A 21,581-nucleotide genomic window follows, 5' to 3' on the forward strand; every position below is an offset into this window, starting at 1 on the left:
GATGATGGTCACAAAGCACAAACAGTGCAAAGGAGTTGAGAGGAGAGGTTAGCTGGGGCTCGTAGAATGTGAAGCTCTGTCTTCTCTGGGAACTGTCAGGAGAAACTTTCCCTTCTTCCCTGGATAGTTGCAGACAACTCCCTTCTTGCCTCAGGATTTGCAGCAAGGGAAGAGCCTGCAACTGCTAGGGGCCACCACTGGGACTTAAAGATGAAGCTGACACCTTGAAAGGCAGAGACAAAATACACAACAAACTAATCGTTGATAATACTTTGTGAGCACCTGGATCAAGCCTCACCTGATGCCAAAATACTGCTGGACCTTTCTGGTTCCTGAGCCAATTATTCCTTTCTGTCCTTTTAAACCATTTTGAGTTGGTCTTTGGACATGGAGGTACTTAATCAATGCAGGCGGCTGAACCAGTGATCTAATGTTGCTGATTCTGCAGAAGCATTTTTACAAAGACTTGTAGAAAGACAGGGGCATCTGGCAGGTAGAAGCTATGTGGAAACTATAATCCAAAAGCATGAAATCTCATATTTTACCCAAGTATTATGATGGGCCATCAGTCCAAAACTTCACACCACAACATAACCAAATTCACAGTGAGTGGTCTGAAATGCATGTGGACACAGTTTCAAAGATTTGGGATTCAGTTTCCATTTGGAGCAGAGCCTAGAATTTTTGGATGTTTCCCCAAGGATTCAAGCTGGTGGATCTGAAAAGCCAGCAGGGGGATCTCCTGAGAAGCGTTTTCACGGCTCTCCAGGATACTTCCTCTCCTAGGATAAGCAGACACTTTTCTGCTGGGCCTTAGGCCCTTCCATGGTGGAAAGTTGGCTGGGAATCAGAAAGGATGAGTCATGAGGAAAAGTTTGCAGCCTTCAAAGAGCAGCGTTTGGTTTGGGCTGGGCTGAAATCATCAGTCCACAGGCTGGTGCGTGTGTTCACATTTGTGGAAGTCCATCTGTCCCTCCCCGGCGCTGTATGTGCTTGCCATCTTTCTTTTGAACTCAAGGCAGATGATAAAGAGCAAGTCATAAGCCTGCTGTGTTGAAGCCCAAGTCTCAGCTGGCAGGATCGACACTGCAGAATCAACTTGGCCTCTGTCCTGTCAGGACAGCTCAAGCCTCAGCACCCTTTCTCCTGTGTAACCTGCTCAGAGAAGTTTCCAGAGAGGAGAGATAGAGAGGGACCATGGTAAAGAGGTATAGAGAAGAAGAATGGACATAACACTTGTGCATGCTCTTTTGGAATTTATCATTTATAGTCAATGTATTTTTAGCTCATCTATAAGCTGGACAATTTCCTAATCTCTCCAAACTTCTTTCCTATCTTTGGCACAATAAGGATCATACCACCTATTCCAACAAGTTGCTCTGACAATTTTAAAAAATAGTATATGGAAATCACCTTAGCATAGTCCATTAATGAGCTCCAAAAATATTGATTGCCATAGGCCAATTCCAACTGAGGATGCTACAAAGAAGCGTCATGAAAGGTTACATTGCCACAAAGAGGGAAAATAAAAATCTAACGAAAGAAAAGCGAACTGCTTCCCAGTGCCTGCTTGCATGAAAACACAGTGATACAGTTTTGCCTTTTCAATGGAGGGGTCACAGAGTTCAGTCCACGCCTCGGCATGTGAACTTGTGGTTTCTGCCCAATGAATCAGTCGGTGATGGGAAAATTAACTGATCTGAGCAGAGTGATGTCAATGTCACTGGGAGGAAGGTGCTGGTACAATGTACAGTCACTACAAACATCCAACATTAGAAGACTAAATCATGCCATCTAAGGGGCTTGCTGACGTGTCGTTCACATTTAAAACCCTGACGTTAATCTAAAACATTTTGGGCTGATGCTGGGGGAAGGGGAAGAGCAAAAGGAGAGAGACTTACGTTCCTGTCGATAACACGTAGGCCGGGACTGAATGTCATTGCCCATGCCGGATCTTGGGGCACTGGTTTTGAGGTAAGCCCCTTCACCAACTACCCAGCAGCTGTGTGAGTTACACAAAGCCAACACGGGGTCCTTCCCCTCACTTTCTCATTAGTACTGGGCCCATCCACCCACCTCAGAGCCAATAGCCCAGAACAGCTGTTTGGACATGGATTGTTCTCTCTTTTGCTTCTGATGTGGAACTTTCTTTCCAGCAGGGATCTCTGGTGACTTCTGCTTATTTCCTATTTGAGTCAGAAAAGCAAGTGCAATTTGAAGATAGGAAAAGTCAGCCAGGCTCCTCAGTACCCCTCTAATAGCTTAGACTGACTTTTGCGGTTTGGAAAATGTTCCCATTTTTCCAAACCAGCTCCTCCATCACTATCACAGCCAGACTGTCTGGGAAAACTGCCTGTCTTTTTACAGTGACTATTACGTTAAGAGATAGATTAAAAATAATAGGAAGAGGTCAGAAACTTTCTTGCTGTGAGAGAAGAAAATAGAGTGCGCGGTGAGTGATCACTATCTTGGCTGGCCCCAGACAGCCAGGCTGCGGTGGGCCAGCGGAGCTGCTCCCACTCCAGAGGGCGGAACTGGGGCACGTCAAAGACCCACGGAGGCTGCTTGTGGGCTTCTCAGCAGAAGCAGCCTGCAATGCTAGAAAGACTCTTGTTTTCCATTCTGAGGATAATCCTTCTGGCAAGGGATGCATAAATGAGGTCTGAATGGGAAGAAGGGATTACAGCAGAAAAGGAAAATCTCGCCACAAGGACTATTTACAAGCTATAAATCCAGTTGTTAATTTCAAGCCATCAAAATCATTCTTCTATCTCCAGCCTGAAACAACAACGGATGGTCAACGCAAGGGTAATCCACCAGAGGAACACTGAGCGGAGCTGTACCGCCCCAGCCACATCAGCTACTGCCTTTCTTGGTCCATAAAATATGACCTTAATTACAAGTCAACTTATTCTCATTAAGGAGAAGGGAGAGGGGAAGCTAAGAAGGCTGGTTGAGAAATGAAGGCTGGTCTCAGGGAGCAGAAATGTGCATGCAATTTGCAACAGGAAGAAAGGAAGGCCGACTTTTATAAAAGATGTGCCAAGAACACTTCAGGCTCCAGAAAAGACATGAGCCTGAAGCAGGCAGAGCTTTGTGGATCACACAGAGGTTGAGATCCAGCACCACCATTCATAACAAGGGCTTCCTTTCTCATCTATGAAAAGGTTACTTCAAAACATAAGTTTCTCATAACTGTCCTGTTACATTATATTTGGGAGGAGGTATGGCTTCACTACTCACCCCTAAGAAGGAATGATTGATATTAATAACTTCACAAAGCTATCATCACATCTATTGCCTGTTTTCCTTGTATGACTTACATTAATGTGCATATATTATTTGCTTGGTACAAAGTTAATTACAATAAGGTAAACATTGTCATTATCCCCTTTATAGATGAGGAAATTGAAGTGTAATAAATCGCACAAAGATACACAGCTAGTGTGCATTAGAATCAAGATTCGAATCCAGATTTATGTAGCTCCAGTGGCTCTGCTTATATTTACTTCACTAGAGGAGCTTTTGCTTTTCATAACTATTTTCCCTAAACCTCATGAAGTGTCATCTTCCCCCACTTAACACATGAAGAAACTGAGGCTAAGAGAAGTAAAGAGAGCTGCCCTAAGTGACTCAGGCCCTTGAGTGCTGAGGCTGGAATTCTGTAATGTTTCCTGAAAAGGGCTGGGCATGGTGTCCCAGAAGTCAAAGATGAATGCAGCTTGATGATCCCAAATAACCAGGAGAGGAAGTGTCACAGGGTGAGGACAATGCAGAAACTACCCACTTCTTCCTGTGCCCTTGATCCTCGGAGGTGTTTGGCTCTCATTCTTTTCAGAGCCTGTTTTTTCAGCTTCTCATTCAATTCTGTGAGTCTCCCCAATCCTTCCAATAAATCTTGTTTTATTGTTTAAGTCAGCTGGGATTGGGTTCCTATTGCTTGCAACCCAGAATCCTAACTACTATAGTAAATATACTAAGTATTAGAGAGCAAAGCTAGGGCACCCAATTCTGACGCATGTCCAGGGGAGACACAGGGCAAAGAGAGAGGGACAAGCCAGATGCATTAGATTTGTGAAGGTATAAAAATAAAATGCTCGTAAAGAGAGAGGCCTCAGGACAATGGAGGAAGTAGGCTGGACTGCCAGAGGCTTGGATTTTACTGACATCTGATCTTAGGGCATCACACATGGGTTGGCCATTTGAAAGAATTCCAAAAGCCTATGCCATTGAATCACATCAGTTTTTTACAAGTTGTGATAAGCATGTTTCTGGTAGTACCAAGACAAAGCTCAATTCAAAAAATACTTATGTTTTTATTTGTATATTTATCTTATGTTTACATGATGATATTGCTCTCCATTTACAATGGCAACATAAAGTTTATTTTCTCAAATTAATTAAGTAAAAAAACTGAGTGAATTTAAAGAAAAATCTTAAATAATATGGCAAAAGTCATAAATGCATAAAAATAAGTGAGGTTTAAGAAGCTACGTAGCACTGTTTATTATTTCATAATACAGATTTTGGGACCTGCCATTTGATGATGAAGCCAAGTAAAAAGCTGAAGTTAAATCTGGATAAACCAAGATAAAGTGTTGCCACCAACTCATTACCTACATATGTAAATTTTGAAGAATTTTAACTGGATTGTCCAGAGTTCAACTTTCTTTTTTCATTTTATTTTTTAGAAAGAAGCAGAATCTGCATCCTGATTGATCTCTTACATTCAGAAACCATATTGTTACTGTTGGGGCAAAAATAAAATATAAAACATGAGAAATGAAAAAGAAAATGACAAAACCAAGCCTATAAACTTGCCAGCCAACACAGCACGTTCCAGTGGAGAAATTCACCAAGTTCTCTGTGGGAAAACTCAGGGCTCTGTAAGTTTTAGAAGTGGGGAGCTCCTGGTGTTTAGTCTAATTTACCATGGAAGACTGGCATTCTGATAGGATAGAGGTAGACCAGAGGTCTGAAAACAGCAGGCTAAACTAAGTCCTGTTGTCATGCATCAGGAACATCTTCAGTTACATCCATCAAGGGTCTGAGACACAAGGGTCACTCAATATTTGTCCGAACCAATTGTGTTGACACATGACATTCAGCTTTGCTCTTACCTAGGCAAGCACTGCTGTCAGTGGAAATTATCCTCCCCTTGGTTCTCCCTTTTTCTGAGATAATAGATGAGAACATAAAGGATAAGCAATTTGTCGGGTGTTCGGGTCCACACTGCCGATTTGGTTTCAGTGCCATTGTCCCAGATCTCACTGTGTTCATTTAAGTCACTTAAGTCTCCTTTATAAATAGAATCAGCTAATTAGCTGGGCGTGGTTGCGGGCACCTGTAATCCCAGCTACTTGGGAGGCTGAGGCAGGAGAATTGCTTGAACCTGGGAAGCAGAGGTTGCAGTGAGCCGAGATCAAGCCACTGCCCTCCAGCCTGGGTGACAGAGTAAGATTCCGTCTCAAAAAAAAAAGAAAAGAAAAGAAAAAGAAATAGAATCAGCTGATGTATGAACCAACAAGAGGGTTGCTGGGAAACAGCATTTAAGACCTTGTTAACAATATGCTTGACAACAGCAACAACCAGGCATAACATAACTAATAGTAGCATGCTCTAATCAGCCCCCTATAGAGACAAGTCCAGGTTATGAGAAAAGAGTCCACTGGTCAGTCCAACCCATCTTAGACAAAAAGTTTCCTGTTCTTAAATTTTATATAGGAACTTCTTGACTCACCCCAAAACATTAATCCAAATGTCACAAGAGGTGTTAGCCAGTGCACAACGGCCTTGTTTGGTCAGTAAAGAACTCACATGTGATTCTCTTGTTTGACATCATTGCAGCGAGTGAGTGAAGGTTTTACAGTTCAGTTTGACCAGCAGGCACATTCTGGACAATTTCATTGGTTGTGATTGCCAATGTTACGGGCACTTTCTAATGCAAAGTCTTAATCAGGAACCCCAAGCCAAGGAAGAAACCCATGCATAAGGCGATGAAACCAGTATCCCTGTGACCTCTAGGCCGTTCGCTCTTAGACAGGCAGGTCCTTTGGGTGATGGCCAGTATGTAAACACTGAAACTCCAATCTGGCATGCAAATCCACCCATGCCTACCAGAATGGGAGACTCTTTCTCTGCTCCAATGTCCACATTGGATGATGATATCATCTTAGCAGAAATACACAAAGCCACAAGGAGTACCATCTGGCAATTGATAAATATTGTTAAATAGACCTCTCAAGTGTTTAAGCACCATTAAAACCAAATATACCTAAAGTTTAACAGAAAATAGTATAATTAATTTAACCAGCACAGGGACATTTTCCTTGACCTCACGGAAAGAGTTAAGTGAAAAAGCTTTATTAATTACTTCCTGTGGAACAATTTACCATTAGCAAAATTTTACATTATATGACTTAGAGAAAATTCTGACCACTATAGCTACACTTTTTGTTCTCAGAAGTTGGTTGCCGAACATTAACCTGGAAGGTGTCATTTTTACAGATAAATGTATTAATTGTAGCCCAGATATGGAAATTAACTTCCGTGAACGTGTCCTGTCATAACTGCAGCTAGTAGCATTTTCAGCACAGCGCCTTAAAAGAAAACTCCATGGAATTCTATAAGAAGGATGACAAACTCAAACTGAGTTTGGTAACTAAATTCTCATAGTAAATTTTGATTGACTTAAAATCTGGAGAATGCCAGACAAACGTAATTATTTTCATTGTCTTTTCTTTTTATATAGTGGGAAAAAAAATCCCTGTGTTTACTCAATTACTGTCCAGGAAAATCCAAAGGTATTTTGGGTTTAAAAGATATCCTTGACCAGGCGCGGTGGCTCACATCTGTAATCCTAGCACTTTGGGAGGCCAAGGCGGGTGGATCCCTTGAGCTCAGGAGTTTGAGACCAGCTTGGGCAATATGACAAAACCCTGTCTCTACAAAAAATACAAAAGTTAGCTGGGCATGGTGATACATACCTGTAGTCCCAGAGGAGGCTGAGGTGGGAGGATCTCTTGAGCCCGGGAGGTCAAAGCTGCAGTGAGCCACGATCATGCCGCTGGACTCCAGCCTGGGCATCAGAGTGAGATTCTGTCTCAAAAAAAAAAAAAATGAGGAAGAAGATATCCTTAGAGCTTTATGATTCTAAGTTTAGAGCCTCATTTTGGGGAAAGCAATAGGAAAGAATCTTCAGAATAGATTTTTGCAAGAACAATGGAGAGTTGTCTTGATTACCTATTAAACAGAGGGACAAATTAAGAGAAGTTACACAATAATAATTCAGAATGTCAATTCTGGCCGGGCGCAGCGGCTCACACCTGTAATCCCAGCACTTTGGGAGGTCGAGGCGGATGGATCACCTGAGGTCGGGAGTTTGAGACCAGCCTGGGCAGCATGGTGAAACCCTGTCTCTACTAAAACTACAAAAAAAATTAGCCGAGTGTGCTGGCAGGCACCTGGAATCCCAGCTACTCGGGAGGCTGAGGCACAAGAATCTCTTGAACCCAGGAAGTAGAAGCTGCAGTGAGCCAAGATCATGCCACTGCATTCCAGCCTGGGCGACACAGCAAGACTCTGTTTCAAAAAAAAAAAAAAAAAAGTCAATTCTTCCTGAAGAATCCTTATTGCTTCATTTAAAACAACCTAGAAGCATGGTAAGAAGGAACATAAAAGAAAAAAAAAGATAAACTCTTAAGTACTGGGAACTGGCTCTACATCAAATAAGAATAATGCCTTATTTCCTCATATGGAAAGAACATCTATAGTCCAAAGTCATAACTTGCTGATAACTATTAGACATCTCATTTCTGTCATATTTGAAGCTTTTGCTCATTGATGTTTCTGTACCATTGTGTTTATACATTGAAACATACATAAATAGGTGCGCTCCATAATTTCTTACATTATTAATCTTAACATAAGACAATATATATGTCATATTGATTTTACCATTTTTATTAAAGTGTTATAAAAGAGTAAATGCATTCATGTAGAGGCAAGAATATAAGTTAAACTAGTTACATGAGATGACAGCCTGAATAACAGTCTCTCAAAGATGTTCACGTCCTAGTCCAGGAAACTGTGACTGTGTTATCTTACCTGGCGTAAGGAATTTAGCAGATGTTATTAAGTTGAGGATCTTGAGATTATCTCATATTATTTGAGTGGATCTGATTTAATCACAAGGGTCCTTTTAAGAGGGCAGCAGGAAGTCAGAGAGGAGAAAAGATGCTTAGCTGCTGGTTTTGAAGATTAGAGGAAGGAACCAAAGAATGCAGGCAGCCTCTGAAAGCTGGAAGAGGCGCGGAAGCAGATTCTTCCCGAAGTGTCCAGAAGACATGCAGAGCAGCCAACACCTTGAGGTTAGACTTCTGATTTTAGACTTACGCTTCTGACCTCCAGATCTGAAAGATAATACAGTTGTTTCTTTAAGCCATTAAGTTTGTGGTAATTTATTACAGCAACAATAGAAAACCAATACACATGAAGACTCCACACATCTTTTCTTCCCTTAGAAATCTGAAATAAAAATTATTGATTGCTAACTTTTATGATTTCAAAGTCAATTAGAGATCTTAGAAATTAAATTCAAGTCACCTTTCAAAAAATAATAATAGTAAAAGATTACTTAATGATACTAAAAGTATCAGAAAAATACCACTTTAGAATTTACATCAACAGTTTCTAGTAATTCTGTAGATTCCCATAATTTGTTGCATGACTGAAGTTGCAATAACCAATGTCTTCTTAAAAGACATTAGATTAGATTAGAAGATGTTAGATTAGAAAACATTGGACTAATGTCTTAGAAGACTTGGTTCTAGAAGACATTGGTTATTGTAATCTAATTGAATACATATATTTACATGTTTATAATTCTAAACATTTATGAAAGCAGCACTAGCTTAAGACAAGTCTAAGAAATTTAGGAAATTCCAATTATTTAAGCTCTCTGGTGTAAACTAGAATATTACGCTAAAATTATTTTTATATCATGTTAAAATCAGAAAGAAGATATTATCAAAATAGGCTAATCCTCAAATATTTCTTGATGATAAATATATCCATGATTATAAATTTCTCCTGTTATATAACAATAATTAACCCTCTAAATTGTATAAAAGCACCAAATGAACTCCATTTCATCTTAGTATATAACCCAGTGACCAAAATCATTAACTTAACTCACAGCTAAACCTTTCTTTTTCAGAGGTGCAGGCTCGGCAAGAAAATATTCATTAAAAGAACTAAAATGTTTCATAACAATAGAGGTTAGGTTGTTTTTGGAAATTCTAAAGTTCTCTTATTTTAAATTTATATAAGTGCTTTTAAGTCTCTACAAAGAAATTAACTTAAGAGCTCCCATAGAATTTGAGAATTTATCATCTGATTCATCAGTTTGCTTCTATCTGGATCCGATATCCCTAGAGTGTGGTATAACAGAGTTTACAACCAACTGAAAAGGTTGCCCACTGTAGAATTGAAACAGTTTATATTGGGTTGAAGGGAATGTATTAACCCTTTTTGAACTTGCTTAATGAAAAACAGGTATAGAATGGATTCCTTCATCAGCCAAAAGACAGATGAGTAACTCCAAGGAAACAGTGTTTGCTTCTCTTCCCCAGATGAAACATAGACAAAACAAATACACAACAAATCGAGACTGAAAGTGCCACTGGAAAGACTCTAAGTTAAAACCAAGTCTTGCTGGGGATTGCTGACCAGAATGACAAAACAAATCAAAAGCGTGGTAACTCAGGCCACCTAGATTAAATAAAGTAAACTCGGTGTGCATGCAAGAAACACATCACACCAGCTGAGCTTGACGGCTACCGGGAGACCCTGTCTCAGTGCAGGCCCAGCAGAAGACCAAAGCTGAGCACAGAGGGACTCGTGTTGTCTGGCCGAGATGTCCACTAGCATCAGTGAGTGAGGCTGGTCAAGGCCATTTCGGTAGAACCTCTATTCTTTCTGCCGTACAAAAAAAAACAGAGAGTTGACAACAAAAATAAAACAAAACAAAAACAATAAACACAAGAAACAAAATGAGGCTATTAACTCTGCCAAGCAAGGCCACACATGCCAATGAAGAAATTCACTTAGTAGTTCTCCAAGGCGGAGGAAGTCAGGGGTTTCTGAGTGCTGAAAAAGGGGGAATTCATGGTGGTACTAAGCATGGAAAATGAGCCCTCTGGACAAGATAGAATGAGTCCTAAGTCTGTATGTTGTTTGTAGTTCAGTGCTGTAGGGGTCTCGGGTACAGTGATTCCTTAAAGTTCATGGTCCTTTAACAGCTTCAACTGTTTAGAGCCAGTTGTGATGAAATGCAATATTCAGTCTTGACAGCCCCCAGGCAAGTGCTTCTGTAAGTAAATAATTATCCTCTTACAGATGGCATTAAAAGCAAGGAGCTCTGAGCTACACTGCAGCTCTAGACTCACTCAGAGGGTGAGGTCGTCTTCCTGAACTGTCCTGATCTGGGTCCAACAGGGGTTCTCTTACTAGGAAACTGTGCCGTCCTTCAAAATCAGACAAAGAGATGACAAAGTAACTGGGAAACAATAGAGGGCGCACTTGCTGGGAGGCATTCTCAGGCCGCCAGAGGGGATCCCGGGAGAGGAAAGTAGTTGTGACTGACTTCCTGGCATCTGCACTTGTTTCTAGTTTGGTTCTTTGTTTCTTTGTTATTTGAGTATATAGCAGTTACCAGAAAAAAATAAAAATAAAAATCTTCTTCATGAACAAAGTTACTTTTATTTGGATTAATCACAGTCCCAATAGAGTCATGTTAGGGTTAGTTATTAATGAACCCAATAATAATCAAGCTTCTTAGAAACCTTCCATCCATTATGGCCATTAGGAATGAAAGCCTCAGCATCAACCCAGTTGCCCTAAACAACGCTTGATGCTAGTAAATCTATTCCTGGGTGGCTTATGTTCCAGCCAATCAAACATGTTGTGTTTCCAAGTCAAAATAAACTGTGATTCAGGAACCCACTGAGGGAGGACGTTTCCCCTTCTTCTGTTAATGTCACTAAGAATTGCAAAACACTTTGTGTATTCATTCATCTAGTTTGTACTGGAATATATGTTTTTAAATTAGATAAAGAAATGCCTGAAGAATTGTCTAAAGAATTTCGGTTTGTCAAAACTCAGAACGATACTCCAAAAGATTAATTTTATTGTGTGTAAATTTTACCTTAAAAAACCTCACCCACAAAAAGGAATTGGATTATTTCCCCTGACAAACAAATAACTGAAAACTTGATTTAAAAATAGCTTGCAGGCCAGGCGTGGTGGCTCAAGCCTGTAATCCCAGCACTTTGGGAGGCCAAGGTGGGCAGATCACGAGGTCAGGAGTTCGAGACCAGCCTAACCAACATGGTGAAACCCCGTCTCTACTAAAAAAAAAAAAAAAGCAAAATTTAGCCAGGTGTGGTGGCACGTGCCTGTAATCCCAGCTACTCAGGAGGCTGAGTCAGGAGAATTGCTTGAACCCGGGAGGTGGAGGTTGCAGTGAGCCGAGATCGAGCCATTGCCCTCCAGCCTAGGAAACAGAGCAAGACCCTGTTTAAAAAAAAAAAAAATTGCTTGCAATATCTGTGGATAAAATGACGCCCAAATTTGATTCAAAATATGACAAATTTGGGGAATAGGAAAGGGGTAAAAATGAAACAAGATTGGCCAATGAGTTGACAAATATTGAAGCTGGGTGCTGGGCATACGGGGATTCATTAAACTGCTCTCTCTCTCTCTCTCAATCATGGTTTTTATGTTTGAAATTTTTCATAATAAAAATCTTTTTTTTTTTTTTTTTGAGGCACAGTTTTGCTCTGTTGCCCAGGCTGGAGTGCAATGACATGATCTCAGCTCCTCCCGGGTTCAAGTGATTCTCCTGCAACCTCCACCTCCTGAGTAGCTGGGATTACAAGAGCCCGCAACCACGCCCGGCTAATTTTTTGTATTTTTAGTAGAGACAGGGTTTCACCCTGTTGGCCAGGCTGGTCTCGAACTCCTGACCTCAAGTGATCCACCTGCCTTGGCCTCCCAAAGTGATTACAAGCGTGAGCCACCGCGCCTGGCCTATAATAAAAATCTGAACTGATAACTTGCATTTAGGAAAGGCTGTTACACAAAATATGCTGGCTTTTACACAAAATATGCTGCCCTTATGTTCCAGTGCTCAGCAGAATGCTCAAAATCAGATAATGAATGTTTACTGTGTGGCAAATTCTCAGCTATGTGCCTTACACATAGCTTCAGTCCTAGTAACCCTGCAAAGTAGATACTATTATTCTCCTTTTATAAAGAAGGAAACCAAGGGTAGGGACATCAGATACTAGCTTCAAGTCCCAAGGCTTGGAGGTGGAGAAGCCAAGATCCAGGTTAATCTGATTCAAAGTCTAGTTTTGGTTTCAATTTGGTGTGGTTTTTGTTTTTTGGTGTGTGTGTGTTTGTGTGTGCACGCACATGCACACCTGTGTTTACAGTGCTTCAACATTAAGAACTATTGCCTCACGATATGGCTATGCAACTTTGAAAAAATTGACCAAGGGAGGACAATCAGATCTTTTTTCCATGCAGGATGTCCTATGTGTTCATTTTTCTGGGATGCTTAAAAAACCCCATGCTAGCTTCTATTAGTGCAGCTTGGTGAGCAAATGACGTTGCTGTCTTGAGTCCTCTTTCAGCACCTTGGGAAGCCTCTCCCGATCCCACAGCCCTTCGCAGGTGCTCCCTCCTGTTCCTGCAGCCTCTAAGGCTTAGTTCAGCGATGAGCACCGAGTTTGAGGTTCTGGAAGTTGCTGACTTTCTGTGTCTGCCCCTGCCACGCAGCTGACGGCAGCTTGTTCCAACCCATCAAAGATCACAGCTCAGAGCCTCTCTTCCATTTGGTATTCCCCTAAAGCTCCAAGAAAACCCTCTTACAAGAATAAAGCAATACTAATAAGGCAACTGAGGTATGAAATAGACATCACACCAAGCAGGAATCTGCCCTTTCTTGAGCACCTATGTGCTTTATCCGTGGGCAATTTAAACACATGATTATTTTCATGGGAATAACCCTAACAAAAGAGGGATTATTATTTTCATCTTAGAAAAACTGGAGCTCACAACGTTTGAGAGTGTCTAGGAGGAATGACTCCACTGTGTGTGCTTTTTCTAGTATGTGGTTTAATTATTTTCTAGCAGGGTGACTTTCTAGCTTCCCCTCGCTGAGCCTCAGTTTCTTCATGTGCAAAACAATGATAATCAGGCCAATGCGAAGAATTGTAGTGAGGATTAAATAAAAATGCCTAGTGCCTCCATATACACAAATACATACTCTCATTTGCCCCAGAATTTGTGACACCATAGTCATTTTCTAGGGGTCTCCTGCGCAGCTGTACTTTTTTTCTAATTTGTGATAATGTCAAGTGGCATCACTGTTCTCAACCATGTGGTGTCTTCTCTGCTCACTCCTTCCACAACTCCCTTCCTAACAACTATGGATTCACTCCATCATCATTTCAATCCTTGGAAGACCTATATGCAGGAGGCACTACATTCTGTCCTCACCTTGACCTCTCAGACACCTCCTCTGAGTCAGGCACAGAGTTCTAATTTCATCCTTGCAGGTTCCTGGAGTCATTACCTTGCTATGCTAAGTGTCCCCCACCCACAGGCCCCGGTACTTCCCATACTTCTATGTAGTCTGGATCATCGTGGAGGTAAAATAATTAATTATGTAATTGGTTGTTATGATCAACTTTGCTGGACAATGAAAGCAGGAACTGTGTCCTATTAACCACTGCATCTCAGCATCTTACACAGCACCAGGCACAAAGTAGAAAATTTATAGTATTTGTTGACTGTAAGAAGAAATAAAACATTTTTAAAGTGTGTTTGGCCAGGCACGGTGGCTCACACCCATAATCCCAACACTTTGGGAGGCCAAGGCAGGAGGATCACTTGAGGTCAGGAGTTCAAGACCAGCCTGGGCAACATAGTGAGACCCCATCCCTACAAAAAATAATTAAAATTAGCCAGGTGTGGTGGTGCTACTTGGGAGACTGAGGCAGAATTATTTGAGCCCAGGAGTTCAAGGTTATAAGTGAGCTATGATCGTACAACCATACTTCAGCCTGGGTGACACAGTGAGACAGTCTCTCTGAAAAAAAAAAAAAGTGTGGTTTCCTCTCTCTACAAAGCCAGACTCTTTTTTTTGTTTTGTTTTGTTTTGTTTTGTTTTTCCTTTTTTAACTTTTATTTTAGATTCAGGGGATACATACGCAAGTTTGTTACCTGGGTATACAGCATGATGCTGAGGTTTGGAGTACAAATGATCCTATCACACAGGTACTGAGCATAGTACCCAATAGTTAATTTTTCTACTCTAGCTCCCCTCCCTCCCTTTCCTCTCTACTAGTCCCCAGTTTCTATTGTTGCCATCTTTCCATCCATGAGTCTACTGTTCAGCTCCCACTTAGGAGTGAGAACGTGTAGTATTTGGATTTCTGTTCCTGCACTAATTGGCTTAGGATAATGGCCTCCAGCTGCATCCATGTTGCTACAAAGGACATGACTCCTTTTTTATGGCTGCATAGTATTCCATGGTGTATACACACCTCATTTCCTTTATCCAATCCACCGTTGATGGGCCCCTAGGTTGATTCTATGTCTTTGCTACTGTGAATACTACTGTGATGAACATGTGAGAGCATGTATCTTTTTGGTAAAAAGTTCTGTTTTCTTTTGGATATATATCTAGGAATGTGATTACTGGGTCAAATGGTAGTTCTGTATGAAGTTTTTTTTTTAAGAAACTTCGAACTGCTTTCCACAGGGGCTGAATTAATTTACATTCCCACCAGCAATGTATAAGCCTTCCCTTTCCTCTGCAGCCTCACCAGTATCTGCTGTTTTTTGGCTTTTTTAATAGTACCCATTCTTACTGGTATAAAATGGTATCTCACTGTAGTGCTTTTGTTGTTGTTGTTGTTGTTTTTGAGACAGAGTCTCGCACTGTTGCCCAGGCTGGAGTGCCTGGTGCGATCTCAGCTCACTGCAACCTCCACCTCCCGGGTTCAAGAAATTCTCCTGTCTCAGCCTCCTGAGTAGCTGGGATTACAGGTGCCCGCCACCATGCCCAGCTAATTTTTTGTATTTTTAATAGAGACAGGATTTCACTATGTTGGCCAGACTGATCTCAAACTCCTGACCTTGATCATGTGCTGGGAGTACAAGCATGAGCTACCACACCCAGCCCTCATTGTGGTTTCGATTTTCATTTCTCTGATGATTAGTCACAAAGCATTTTTTCATGTTTGTCGGCCACTTGTATGTTTTTTGAAATGTGTCTGTTCATGTCTTTTGCCCATTTTTTTTTAACAAGGTTATTTGTTTTCTGGTTGTTCAATTCTTTAAATTCCATATAGATTCTGGATATTAAACCTTTGTCAGATGCAAATTTTGCAAATATTTTCTCCCATTCTGTAAATTGTTTACTCTGTTGATAGTTTCTTTTGCTATGCAGAAGCTCTCTAGTTTAATTAGGCCCAACTTATTTGTTTTTGTTGCAATTACAGCTAGACTCTATCCCCACCATTTTGATGTACTATTTTAATCACAGGTGAGTTTAATTATTCTGTTTTCACTGTGATATTTGCTCTTTGCAGGTCAATTATGTGACTAGTTAGTAGGCAAAGTGATGACAAGTTTATGGAAGAATCAGATTAGTAATGAGATAAACAATAAAATTTTGGGATCACTAATGAGAATTATATATGGCTTTATCATGCATTAGCCAAGAAATGATTACAGATTATTTTTTAAAAATCCAATTCAAGGTCGGGCTCGGTGGCTCATGCCTGTAATCCCAGCACCTTGGGAGGCCAAGGCGGGTGGATCATGAGGTCAGGAGTTCGAGACCAGCCTGGCCAACACAGTGAAACCCCGTCTCTACTAAAAATATAAAAATTAGCTGGGCATGGTGGCACGTGCTTGTAGTCCCAGCTACTCAGGAGGCTGAGGCAGGAGAATCACTTGAATTCTGGAGGCAGAGGTTGTGGTGAGCCGAGATCATGCCACTGCACTCTAGCCTGGGCAAGCGAGACTTCATCTCAAAAAAAAAAAAAAAAAAAAATCCAATTCAAATGATATCACCACTAGAAAAATACCTATGTAAATTAGGTATTTTTGAGGCATAGAAAATGAGGAACAGAATTTAAATCAATGAAGAATACTTAAAGCTATGGTTTCTAAAACTTGATATGAACAAAATACTCATAAATTAACCAAGTCTTTGTTGTATTAATAAAATGTGCTCAGAAAATAATTAGGCTGACTTATTCCAGTTTGCCCCAGACTTTCTCCATTTTAGCACTGAAAGTTCCATGTCTCAGGAAACCCTAAGTTCCAGGCAAACCAGAATGGTTGGTCACCCTAAAAATAATTGGCCCTGTTGAAAGTAATGTTGGCTCTATTACTTACTAGCTATATCACCTTGGGTTCTTTTTTGTTTTGTTTTTTTAGACAGAGTCTCGCTCTATCGCCAGGCTGGAGTGCAGTGGCACAATCTTGGCTCACTGCAACCTCCGCCTCCCAGGTTCAAGTAATTCTCCTGCCTCAGCCTTCTGAGTAGCTGGGACTACAGGTGCCTGCCACCACACCTGGCTAATTTTTGTATTTTTAGTAGAGACGAGGTTTCACCATGTTGGCCAGGATGGTCTTGATCTGTTGACCTCATGATCCACCCCCCTCGGCCTCCCAAAGTGCTGGGACACCTTGGGTTCTTAGTTCTCAGTTTTCTCATGTATAAACTGGAGCTAATAACAATATGTACTTTATAGATTATTGTCAGGATAAACTGAGATAATGTACAGAAAGCATCTCATGCATAGTATATGCTCAAAACATTTGATAAATATGGTATTACTATTATTACTAATGGCAGAAGTGGAATTTCAGAATGAGAACTTTCTCCTCTCAAATCTTCTTTTTATCCACCTTCTACACTATGCATGTTTAGCCACACTGAATTTAATAACCAGGAACTCCTAAGGCTAGTGGTTGGTTCTACGGTGCCTGTGGTTAGAAGCAACCAATACATGGCTGGATCATCTTTTGCATGTAGACAGAGAGGTCTGACCTCTAGGCCTTGAAAGAAGCAAAGTTATAAAGAAAGCTTCAGCCAGGCATGGTTGGTCATGCTGTAATCCCAACACTTTGGGAGGCCGAGGTGGGAGGATTACTTGAGGCCAGGAGTTTGAGACCAGCCTGAGCAACATAGCAAGGAACTGTCCCTACAAAAAAAAAAAAAAAAAAAAAAATATATATATATATATATATATATATATATATATATATATATGTTAGTTTTGTTTTGTTTTTGGAGACAGGGTCTCACTTTGTTGCCCAGGCTGGAGTGCAGTGGTGTGAACATGGCTCACTGCAGCCTCAGCCTCCTGGGCTCAAGACAACCTCCTGCTTCAGTCCCCCCAAGTAGCTGGGACTACATGTGTGCGCCACCATGCCTGGCTAATTTTTGCATATATTTTTTGGTAGAGATGGTGTTTCACCATGTTGTCCAGGCTGGTCTTGAACTCCTGATCTCAAGTGATCCACCCACATCAGCCTCTCAAAGTGCTGGGATTACAGGCATGAGCCACGGTTCCTGGCCAAAAAAAAAAAAAATTAAAAAAATAATAAAAAAATTGTTTTTTAATTAGCCAGGCATGGTGGCCTGTAATACTAGCTATTCAGGAGGCTGAGACAGGAGGATTGCTTGAGCCCAGCAATTCAAGGCTATAGTGAGCTATAATAGTGCCACTGCACTCCAGCCTGGGCAACAGAGTGAGACCCTATAAACAACATTTAAAGTAAAATAAAGTCCTTGATCACCTTCAGGTCTCCATAATGCAGAAGATGGTGAATGTAGTACAAACACCCAAAAACCATTAGGCAAGGTTAAGCTCACACCCAACTGAGCTCATGGACAGCATACAGCCTGGCGCATTCTAGGCTCTCAGTAACCGGCTGCCATCTCGAGCAGAGAGTAGCTGCTGTGTGCCTCAGGCCCATTCCAGCTAGGATGAGCAAGAGACACTGGTTCTAGAAAGGAACTCTTGTGAAAACAAATAAGCAGCCAAGCAAGGTGTCAAAGACTCTCCGATCCTGCTGTGTCATCGTTTGCGCTTGAATCATAAAGCTGTCTTTCCATCTGGTGCCATGGCTTAATTCATCCCTTACATTTTGGTCATAGCTCTGCCATCGCTTTGCTTGATTCCTGAGACAGAGGATGGGTTCTAGACCCAAAATGATTCTAGGATTAGGAGAAGAAGTTGTAGGTTTGGGAGGGGTTAGGGCAGATGGAAATGGTTGCCAGAGGGGTCTTTATACTGCCTCTGTGTGGTCCTTAACAATGTTTCACCTCCTGCTTCTACCTATTTCAGGGTCTCCCTCATGCCATCTGCTCTGCCTGGGCTGGCTTTGTTCTGTCTGTGGAGAGATTGAGATAATGTCTCTAAGAAATCTCCATCTTTCAGCTTCGGATCTCAGAGCACTCCAGGCGTGTCCGTCACTAATCCACAGGCAGGGCTCTGAAGCAGACGCCTTAACACCAATTCTGAGGCAGGGTGGATACCTGCTGCAGTGCAGAGTTAAATCTGAGAAGCTCAGAGAGGCGATCAGGGCGGCCTCTGAAAGCAATTATAGGGCTGAGCCTTTACAACAAAGGCTAGTTGACCCGACTTAACCAAGAAAGCCTGTATCACCCTACCTGGAAACCTGCCAGGCGTCCAAAAGTACTTCAAAGAATGCACCATCCCTGTGGCGGCTTTTCTGCGAGCAACCTCTCTTCTGCCTCTGATAGGACAGCTGACTTTCAGCCACGAGTGAGAAATACTCTGGAAAAGAAAATGCTTGTAGAACAAATGACTTTGTGAACACGAATTCTGGGATCGCATTAAGAAAATTAGGATGCATAAACCGGGCACGGTGGCTCACGCCTGTAATCCCAGCACTTTGGGAGGCTGAGGCAAGTGGATCACCTGAGGTCAGGAGTTCGAGACCAGCCTGGTCAACATGGTGAAACCAAGTCTTTACTAAAAATAAAAAAAATTAGCCAGGTGTGGTGGTGGGCGCCTGTAATCCCAGCTACTCCAGAGGCTGAGGCAAGAGAATTGCTTGAACCCAGGAGGCAGAGGTTGCAGTGAGCTGAGATCACACCACTGCACTCCAGCCTGGGTGACAGAGCGAGACTCCATCTCAAAACAAAAAAAAAAGAAAGAAAATTAGGATGCATAGGCTGGAAAGGGAAAGGTGGTGGGGGGGGGGGCGCATTTAAAAAGTGGCAAATGAGAAATTACGGCATTGCATCTTCTGTGGTTTGTTCAAGAGAATAGGAAGTCACCTGCTGCGTGAGTGGGCAGGTGGGGTCTGGTAGATGGTGCTGGTGTAGGTGACGAAAATACTCAGATATGAAATGGTGGCAGCAGTGTAAAAGGGCAGGAGCCTTTTGTAAACTGCCTTATAAATTAAAAAAAAAAATGTAGACTGGGTGCGGTGGCTCATGGCTGTAATCTCAACACTTTGGGAGGCCAAGGTGGGTGGATCACTTGAGGTCAGGAGTTGGAGATCAGCCTGGCCAACATAGTGAAACCCTGTCTCTACTAAAAACACAAAATCAGCCAGGTGTGCTGGTGCATGCCTGTAATTCCAGCTACTCTGGAGGCTGAGGCAGGAGAATCGCTTGAACCTGGGAGGCGGAGGTTGCAGTGAGCCGTGATTGTGCCACTGCACTCCAGCCTGGGCAACAAGAGAGAGAAAAAAACTCTGTCTCAGAGAGAGAGAGAGACAGAGAGAGAGAAAGGAAAGGAAGGGAAGGGGAGGGGAGGGGAGGGAAGAGAGAGAGAGAGAAAGAGAAAGAAAGAAAGAGAGACAGAAAGAGAGAAAGGAAGGAAGAAAGAAAGAAAGAAAAAGAGAAAGAAAGAGAAAGAAAGAAAGAGAGAAAGAAGTAAAGTCAATGATAAAGCAAGCAACACTTGAATATTACAAAAATTGTGTAGGAGTCTATGAATGGTGGTAATGTGGGAAACCTTGTCTTTAGAAATCACCCATTTCCCTTGAGGTCTCCTAGATCAAGTCCAAATAGTATTATATTCTCCACGTTAGGACTGCCTTGAACTTCAGTTCACTTGATTTTCCAATCGCCTTGGCCCATTCTCCACCTGCCTTCTCTCCTCTCCGCTGTGTTGGTGAAGCAAGCCCTGCTCCTGCCTTCCTCTCCTTTCTCCCTCCCTCCCCAGCATTGGGAGTCTTGGGGCTCTGACGGGGGTCCCGCGAAGTCCCAGTGCTGTAAATAGTGCCTGCCATACCTTGATGGAATGTTCCATACGAGCTACTGTTATTAGGTGTGTTCCCCTTATGGCTTTTCAAAATAAAGTAAAATAACACCGGCTTAGTTCTGAAAGGAACCCAGCCCTCCTTCTTTCTTTCCAATCCGACTTGTGTGTCTACATTTAATTAATTGGGCTTGTAGCTCATAGATCCTCTGATTTGCACAAACAATTAAGTGTAATTACTTGGGAACACCCATAAGGGCTCATAATCTATTATGCTTGGCAAATTTGGCCAAACAAAATTAGAGATGCCGTTTCCAAATCTGGTTCTGCTATGTCTACTGTGCTCATTCTTGGAATAAACATGCAAAGCAGAGTTGATTTACACGTTCGGCCTTTGATGACATTGTGATGTTGCATCATTTCTTCCAGGGCTAGATGCCTTGTTTTCAGAAAGACTAAAGCCTTCTCTGTCCAATTTTACTCAGTTCATTTCACCAGATACATGGGACACCTTCAAGGACCATACTTTGTTTCAAGCCCCCTTCCCCAACACACCATGTACTAAGCACTCTGCAAGGTGCTCCATGGGCAACTACCTTGTCCCATCTTGATCACTTCCAGATGTTCATTGCCCAGGAGACAATTTTCAGCTTTATATTTTTTTGAAATGAGTATGTGGACACTTCTGAAATCAATTTTTCTTGTTGCCATCGTTGCTAATGTGATTTCATTTTACGTGCTCTGCTTGGCTTCCTGATGAATTTATTCTTTGCACTTTCCTTGGAATTTCTGAGTCATAAAAATTAGAGACTCCATATCCCCAGAGGTGATGCCTTATCAGACCTGTGCTGAGGACACTGGCCTTGCCTACATGTGTGGTGAGTGGGTTGGGCTTTATGGAGAAGCTGAAAACGTGGGAGAAGGGGCTGGTAATCTAGATCTCTAGGCTAGGGCTCCTAATATTGGAGGGTGGGGGTAGTTTATGGCTCCTTTTGTAAAGTTAGATAGTGGGCCAAAGATAGAAGTTTGTGGAAAGCAGACAAAAGGAAGCAAGAGGCCAGGCATGGTGGCTCACACCTGTAATCTCAGCACATTGGGAGGCTGAGGCGGGTGGATCACCTAAGGTCAGGAGTTCAAGACCAGCCTGGCCAACATGATGAAACCCCATCTCTACTAAAAATACAAAAATTAGACGGGTATGGTGGCAGGTGCCTGTAATCCCAGCTACTTGGGAGGCTGAGGCAGGAGAAT

General features: G+C 42.0%; 3 annotated features.

Moving 5' to 3' along the window:
* Positions 915–2,114: an enhancer, noted in NCBI's record as "BRD4-independent group 4 enhancer chr5:173999018-174000217 (GRCh37/hg19 assembly coordinates)". NCBI's record gives its function as "activates an origin of replication core promoter dependent on BRD2, P300/CBP, MED14 and CDK7 cofactors, and independent of BRD4, by STARR-seq in HCT116 cells {active_cell/tissue: HCT116}" and the evidence as "EXISTENCE:reporter gene assay evidence [ECO:0000049][PMID:35650434]".
* Positions 915–2,559: a biological region, named in NCBI's record as "BRD4-independent group 4 enhancer GRCh37_chr5:173999018-174000217".
* Positions 2,058–2,559: an enhancer, noted in NCBI's record as "H3K4me1 hESC enhancer chr5:174000161-174000662 (GRCh37/hg19 assembly coordinates)". NCBI's record gives its function as "activates a minimal SCP1, AML or CMV promoter by ChIP-STARR-seq in naive H9 embryonic stem cells {active_cell/tissue: H9 hESC(naive)}" and the evidence as "EXISTENCE:reporter gene assay evidence [ECO:0000049][PMID:30033119]".

This window comes from Homo sapiens, chromosome 5, assembly GCF_000001405.40.
Source record: "Homo sapiens chromosome 5, GRCh38.p14 Primary Assembly".
Lineage (NCBI taxonomy): Eukaryota > Metazoa > Chordata > Mammalia > Primates > Hominidae > Homo > Homo sapiens.